This window comes from Homo sapiens, chromosome 18 (assembly GCF_000001405.40).
Source record: "Homo sapiens chromosome 18, GRCh38.p14 Primary Assembly".
Lineage (NCBI taxonomy): Eukaryota > Metazoa > Chordata > Mammalia > Primates > Hominidae > Homo > Homo sapiens.
This window is the reverse complement of record NC_000018.10, coordinates 48002196-48009118: the sequence shown is the minus strand read 5'-3', so window position 1 is coordinate 48009118 and position 6923 is coordinate 48002196. Positions and strand designations below refer to the sequence as shown.

The 6923-nt window shown below is 52.7% G+C and overlaps 7 annotated features.

Annotated features, from left to right (window-relative positions):
* Window positions 564-1477: an enhancer, noted in NCBI's record as "H3K27ac-H3K4me1 hESC enhancer chr18:45534013-45534926 (GRCh37/hg19 assembly coordinates)". NCBI's record gives its function as "activates a minimal SCP1, AML or CMV promoter by ChIP-STARR-seq in naive and primed H9 embryonic stem cells {active_cell/tissue: H9 hESC(naive and primed)}" and the evidence as "EXISTENCE:reporter gene assay evidence [ECO:0000049][PMID:30033119]".
* Window positions 719-768: a silencer, noted in NCBI's record as "silent region_9430". NCBI's record gives its function as "represses an Ori minimal core promoter by ATAC-STARR-seq in GM12878 lymphoblastoid cells {active_cell/tissue: GM12878}" and the evidence as "EXISTENCE:reporter gene assay evidence [ECO:0000049][PMID:35858748]".
* Window positions 779-888: a silencer, noted in NCBI's record as "silent region_9429". NCBI's record gives its function as "represses an Ori minimal core promoter by ATAC-STARR-seq in GM12878 lymphoblastoid cells {active_cell/tissue: GM12878}" and the evidence as "EXISTENCE:reporter gene assay evidence [ECO:0000049][PMID:35858748]".
* Window positions 4972-6171: an enhancer, noted in NCBI's record as "P300/CBP strongly-dependent group 1 enhancer chr18:45529319-45530518 (GRCh37/hg19 assembly coordinates)". NCBI's record gives its function as "activates an origin of replication core promoter dependent on BRD2, BRD4, P300/CBP, MED14 and CDK7 cofactors, with strong dependence on P300/CBP, by STARR-seq in HCT116 cells {active_cell/tissue: HCT116}" and the evidence as "EXISTENCE:reporter gene assay evidence [ECO:0000049][PMID:35650434]".
* Window positions 4972-6445: a biological region, named in NCBI's record as "P300/CBP strongly-dependent group 1 enhancer GRCh37_chr18:45529319-45530518".
* Window positions 5444-5943: an enhancer, noted in NCBI's record as "H3K4me1 hESC enhancer chr18:45529547-45530046 (GRCh37/hg19 assembly coordinates)". NCBI's record gives its function as "activates a minimal SCP1, AML or CMV promoter by ChIP-STARR-seq in naive H9 embryonic stem cells {active_cell/tissue: H9 hESC(naive)}" and the evidence as "EXISTENCE:reporter gene assay evidence [ECO:0000049][PMID:30033119]".
* Window positions 5944-6445: an enhancer, noted in NCBI's record as "H3K4me1 hESC enhancer chr18:45529045-45529546 (GRCh37/hg19 assembly coordinates)". NCBI's record gives its function as "activates a minimal SCP1, AML or CMV promoter by ChIP-STARR-seq in naive H9 embryonic stem cells {active_cell/tissue: H9 hESC(naive)}" and the evidence as "EXISTENCE:reporter gene assay evidence [ECO:0000049][PMID:30033119]".

Below are 6923 nucleotides of genomic sequence, written 5' to 3'. Positions count from 1 at the left end.
AGAGCAGGAGTTGCCAGGAGTTGGAAAGACGGAGGGTTGAATTTCTGGAGCAGTGAAAATGCTGTGTGATACCGGAATGACATGGCCTTACACATGTCATACCCATGGAGTGTACAGCACCAAGGGTGAACCCTAAAGAAAACTGTGGACTTTGGGTGACCCTGATGTGGCAGTGTAGGTTCACAATGGCAACCAATGCATGCCCTGGTCTGGAGGTCGAGAGTGGGGGAGGTTGTTCGGGGGTGGGTACAGGGGGGAAATGAAACTTTTTGTACTTTTGGCTCAATTTTATTGTGAATCTAAAATTGCTTGAAAAAAATAACGTCCATTAACTTTAAAAATGAGGTGTGGTAAAGAACGGACGAGTGCTTACACACAGTCATTCAACAGACATTTACTAAGTGCCTACGACGCGTCTGTATTTCTACAGGACCACTAAGCGTGAAGCAGGTAGAGTGAGACTTAGGACCCCGGGAGAAAAACCGCCCCTGGAGGGCGCGCCACGGGTGTGCGGTGTAGACGCGGGCGGGCCGGCGGCGGAGGAGGAGGTCCCGGCGCCGACCCCTGGAGCGGAGGCAGCAGCCGGGCGCAGCGAGACAAGTAGGCTGGGCTGGCCTGGCCGGCCAGGTGCGGGGAGGAGGCTCACAGACTGCGGCTAAGCCTGAGTCCGAGCCCAGCTGCGAGGCGGGGGCCGGGGCATGGGAGGAGGAGCGGGGAGGAGCCGGGAGGGGCGGGGGAGGTGGCCCGGGGGCGCGCCCCACCCCCAGCCCTGGCCCCCGCCCCCGGCCCAGCGCCCCCGCGTGGCCGCCGCTCGCAGTGCGCAGCGCAGGGAACAAAGCCCGCGGCGGGGCGGGGTCGGTTCGGCGGCTGGGTCCGGGCACCGGGATTCTGGGAAGCACCGACGCCCGAAACAAAAGCAGCTGTGCTTCTAGGCACGCTGTTGGAGATTATTCCGAGGAGCGCAAGCTGGGAGGGAATGAGGCGCTGTGACACCCCCTTCCCATTGGCAAAGGTTGCTTCCCCAGCCCCACAAAGCTCCATTCCGAGCGCTGGGCTGGCAGAGACCCGACTCCCGGCCGAGATGGACTGGAGAGGGGAAGAGCACAGGGCTAGGGAGCGGAAGCTTCGGGTCACTCTACAAAGTCCCGCAGAATGGTGCTTGCGGAGAGCACAGAGGGGATGGCCCCAGAAGCCCCACTCTCGGAGGCTGTGATGTGGACTGAAGTTAGTAGTGGGGCAGAAAAGCACATGGAGGAGCGTCCGGGCCCCCAGGCTCGCGGACCTGCAGTCAGCTGGAGAGGGTCAGAACAAGGGAGTCTCTCTGCTCTGAGACCCCTCAGCACCCCTCACTCTGCTGGGTCCCATGGTCCCTGCCATCTCCTGCCCGCAGAGGCTACCTTTACTCAGCACCACCCTCCTCATGGGCAGGGGAGGAGATGCCACTTTCCCCTATAAAACATCCCAGAGCTGCCTAAGGTGGCAAAGGAAGGAGACCCTGGTGAGGACAGGCCCTCAGTGCCACTCCTGCTCCAGTGCCCTGGCCCGAAGCTGAGCATGGACCTCAGCCTGAACCCAGGTGTTTGGCTGAAACCCGGCCGGAGCATCCACTAACACCTCAACGGGGGTCAAGAATGATGGGGGGAAACAGAGGCAGACCCTCCTGAATCCAGACCAAGCTTGTCCAACCCGCGGCCTCTGGCCGCGTGAGGCCCAGGATGGCTTTGAATGCGGCCCAACACAAATTCGTAAAATTTCTTCAAACAGTACGAATGTGTTTTTTTGTGATATTTAAAAAGTTACTCAGCTATCGTTAGTCTTAGTGTATCTTATATGTGGCCTAAGACAATTCTTCTTCCATTGGGACCCAGGGAAGCCAAAAGACTGGACACCCCTGATCTAGACCCTCTGCATTTGCAGACACTGCCTGTCTGGTCAGCTCCATGGGCCCATTTATCTTTGCGCCACAGCCCACTTCCCAGTGGGCCACAGCAGGTCCCCTTCCGCCTCCCAAGGCCAGTCCCAAGAAGGAGACGTCCAGAGAGTCTCCTAGGATTACCCACCTTTTTCCCAGAAACTGACACGCTGAGGGTGGCCTTGTAGAGTCCAGCAGGACACTCACTTCAGCCCAGGGAACACACGGAGTCGGCCAAATCAGTCAGGGATGTGGACTCATTCCTTCCACACAGTCCTTGGTGGTGGGGATCCGCTCTTCACCAACTCACTTGTGCTTCTACACAGGGCACCTGTGGCCAGCATTTCCAAGGAGGATGCTGGTGGTGCACCCCCTGTGGACAAGACGCTGTGGGAGCACTTTACATCATCCTATCCAGCCGAGTGGCTTCCCTCCCGCACAGCAGCCAACCTGTCTCTGGTCTCATCCTAAGCCCGGGGCAGTTTCCCTCAATCCTGCCTGCTATCCCTGTTTCCACTTCTAACCTCAGACACAAGCTTCTTCATCTGGTGGTGGTTTTCTTAAAATTACGACCCATACCTCATTATCTGCTGAGGCTGCAACTTGAAAGCTTTGGAGAAAGCACCAGCAGGGTGGTATTAACAGTTGATTAAATACAGTTGTTGTCATTTGCATTATTGCTGCAAACTCCTAGACATCAGGTCTTTGGTTAAGAAGTCATCTCCCTACACTTATATATTGTTAGTGGGAATATAAATTAGTCCAGCCACTGTAAAAAGCAATTTGGGCCAGGCACAGTGGCTCATGCCTGTAATCCCAGCACTTTGGGAGGCAGAGGTGGACGGATTGCCTGAGGTCAGGAGTTCGTGACCAGCCTGGCCAACGTGGTGAAACCCTGTCTCTACTAAAAATACAAAAAAAAAAAAAAAGAGCTGGGCGTGGTGGTGCACGCCTGTAGTCCCAGCTACTTGGGAGGCTGAGGCAGGGGAATTGCTTGAACCAGGGAGGTGGAGGTTGCAGTGAGCCGAGATCATGCCACTGCACTCCAGCCTGGGCGACAGAGCAAGACTCCGTCTCAAAAAAAAAAAAAAAAAAAAAGCCATTTAGAGATTTTTCAAAGAACTTAGAACTACCATTCTACTCAACAATCCCCTTACTGGGTATATATCCAAATAAAATAAATCATTCTACCAAAAAGATGCATGCACTCACGTTTACCACAGCACTATTCACAAGAGCAAAGACATGGAATCAATCTAGGTGCCCATCAACAGTGAATTGGATAAAGAAAATGTGGTACATGGCTGGGCGCAGTGGTTCACGCCTGTAATCCCAGCACTTTGGGAGACCGAGGCAGGCAGATCATGAGGTCAGGAGATCGAGACCATCCTGGCTAACACGGTGAAACCCCACCTCTACCAAAAATACAAAAAATTAGCCGGGCGTAGTGGCGGGCGCCTGTAGTCCCAGCTACTTGGGAGGCTGAGGCAGGAGAATGGCGTGAACCCGGGAGGCGGAGCTTGCAGTGAGCCGAGATCCCGCCACTGCACTCCAGCCTGGGCGACAGAGCGAGACTCCGTCTCAAAAAAAAAAAAAAAAAAAAAAAAAAATTAGCCGGGCGTAGTGGTGGGTGCCTGTAGGCTCAGCTACTCGGGAGGCTGAGGCAGGAGAATGGCATGAACCCAGGAGGCGGAACTTGCAGTGAGCCGAGATCGCGCCATTGCACTCCAGCCTGGGCGACAGAGCGAGACTCCGTCTCAAAAGAAAAAAAAAAAGAAAATGTGGTACATGTACAACCTTGGGATGCTATGCAGCCATAAAAAAGAATGAAATCATGTCCTTTGCAGCAACATGGATGCTGCCAGAGACCATTATTCTAGGTGAAAGAACGCAGGAAAAGAAAACCAAATACTTGTGTCCTCACTTATAAGTGGGAGCTAAACACTGAGTACTCATAAAAATGACAATATATACTGGGTACTATTAGGACAGGGCAAGAAGGGGGCAGGGGTTGAAAAACCATTGGGCACTATGCTCACTACCTGGGTGATGGGATCATTTGTACCCCAAAGCTCAGCATCATGCCATATACCCATGTCACAAACCTGGACATAAACCCTCTGAATCTAAAGGATGAAATTATTAAAAATAAAAATAAAGAAGTCATCTTCCTGATGACCTGCTTTCTTGAGGAAATCCAGGTTGATGTAAATATTCCAGACTAGGGCAAATGTTTTCTGTAAAGGGCCAGATAGGAAATATAATAGGCTTTGAGGACTTTGTGGACCATACAGTTTCTGTTGCAACTAGTCAGCTCTGCCATTGTAGTAAGAGCAGCCATAGATCATATGTAAATGAATGGGCATGGCTGTTCAAATAAAACTTTATTTACAAAAACAAGTGCTGAGCTGGTTTTGAAGCAGGCTGTTCATTGCCTACTCCTGTTTCAGACTATAATATGTATTTTGGCATCATGACTTAACTGAGCAGATGAGTGAGTGAGAAACACGTCAACCTGGCCTCAGAACGTTTGAGTGGCAAGGCCAGGCCTGTGTCTCATAGCTGGGTAACCCCTGAGTCTCAGTTTCCTCACCTAAAAATGGGGGTAATCATGAATATAGAAGGTAATGGTGATCACTCTAGATACCCCCTTTTATAAGCCTCTGATGTGGGATGAAATTAACCATGTGAGTTCAATGCTGCAGGGCACCTTTATAAACTCAAGGTGTTCTGCCCCTTGTGAGTCTGAGGACCATCTGGGTGCTAAATCATCTGGGGAGAGGGCAAAGGGTCCTGGTGGGACAGGCCTGGACGCCTGTGCTTGACCTATGGGTTCTCACAGAAGCTGGAGGCTTGGGAATATGATCACCTGCTTTCTCGCATTCTTTGAAATGTGGTCAGCAAGCTGATGATCTTTTGCAGCTTTTTAATTGCTTTGTTACTGCAGTTTCCACTCTTTCAGCTCCAGCTGGGCTGACTGCAGCTGCAGGGCAGAAATTCTTTCCAGAGCCTGAGCAGAGCAAGAACCTCTGTGATGTGGCTGACCTCAGACACTGGACCCAACACTTCCTCCCCAGCCTGAACATTTGCGTCACTCCATCTTATGGCACCAGGCACCATGAGGCTATAAGGAGGACGGGGACGGGCTGTCTTTTTGTGCCATTCCTTTTGGGGCCCAGGACCTAAGCAGGAACTTCAAAGGGACCCTGTTGGCACCAGCTCTTCTGAGAAGCACATGGAACTACTGCCCTCCCTTTCCTAGGGGCTGGGCCCTCAGAGCTGCAGGGTGCAGGCCTACGTGAGCATTTGGGCACCACTCCAAAGGCTTCTGTGTCATTTCCTGGTGACCTTCAAGCAACAGAGATTGTTAGGTGGGGCAGGATTTTAAAGACCCAACTTCACTGGGGACCTGACGGTAGCATCCAAGGAAAGGCGTCAGCCTTCTGCTCTAGAATTCATGTTCTCACGGTTTTGCCTCTAGCCTCAGAGGGATCTGCACTCCCAGCAGATTAAGATCCTCGTTTCTAGGCCAACACACCCATTTCACAGATGAGGAAACTGAGAGTCAGAAAAGGCATGGACAAGCCCTGCCAGTGAGCAACACTAGCTCTAGACTCTGGGTCTCTCCCAGGCAGCTTGGCTCAAACCAAGCCTCTTACATCAGCATTATTTTATTTATTGCTTCCCCTTCCCTACTCTTCCACACCCCTCTGTATCAACGGAACAGCTACTTGGACCCTCCTGGAGGAGGGCCCCACAGGGCAGGGTCTCAGAGTTGTTGGCAAAGACTTGGGGAGCTGGGGCTCCCTGGCATGAAGATGGAGGTTCTGCCCTCTCCTCCCAGGGGCCAGAAGGGGGCCCACAGTGAAGCAAAAGAAGAGAAAAGCAGCCTGCTCACTCTGCCTCTCCAGAGGGAGGTGATGGGAAGTGGCAGCCATGGAGGGAGCCCGCAGGGTCTGGCCCCCAGGGCCCTGGGGCACAATTACCTCATCAGGCATTTCCAGCTTTTATGATCTGCCAACAAGGCCACAAGTGACGCAGACACCTCCCCTGGCAGCCTGTTCTCCAGGGCGATGGGTGGTGATCTCACCCTTGCTGGAATGCCACTGCCATCCGCATGCCCCTGGCCAGGCCAGAGGCCACCAGGCCGAGGCCCAGGCACTGAGCAGGGGCCAGAGGGAGTGAAGTGGCCTAGATGAAGAGAAGGAGTCAGCAGGTGAGCTGAGGATGCCACCCAGGAGGCCTGAAACTGGGGCTGGGAGGCTAAGAGAGCTCGGCCCTAGGGAAACAAGAGAGGGCTTGAAGTGCATTCAAGTCAGTGGGACAGCTACTCCCGGGCCCTCCTGCTTGGAATCCCCAAACTGGGCAGCGTGGGGCACCTTCAACTGCTGCTCACTCTGTGCTCACCTTCCTCAGCTCAGGGATCTCAAACAGCCAGTGTTTCCCTCCCCACACACCAGACACACACACACACACACATGCACACACACCACACACATGGCCTGTGCATCTGTGTAACAAATCACTAGTATTGAGTTCAAATCTTGAATTGGACACTTGGTAATGGAAAGACACCTTGGGCAAGTTACTTTCCCTCTGTGTGCCTCAGTTTCCTTGCAAAATGGGAATCACACCAATAGTGTTTTCTTCATAGGGCTACAGTGAGCCAGTGCGTAGTGTCTGGAATGTGGGACGTGCTCAGAAAAGGGTAGTTATCACTGCTGCTGAGTAACGAGAGCAGGCTAGAGGAGAATGTTCATAGCCCCCTACCTCTACCTTTGCCCCCAAGTCAGTAAGCGGCAACTAAAGGCAGGGAGCCATCTCGGAAGTGCTGGAGGCCCACACTCAAGGACTCCAAGTGTGACTGATATTAAAGAACAGCAACGTAGATTTTAGGGCATCATCTGTCTACCCCATTGGTACTTTGAACACTTCAAGTAATTATTATCTCTGTTATAATAAATAATGCAATTGAGGTTGAGAGAGTGTAAATGGCTATGGCTATTCAAAG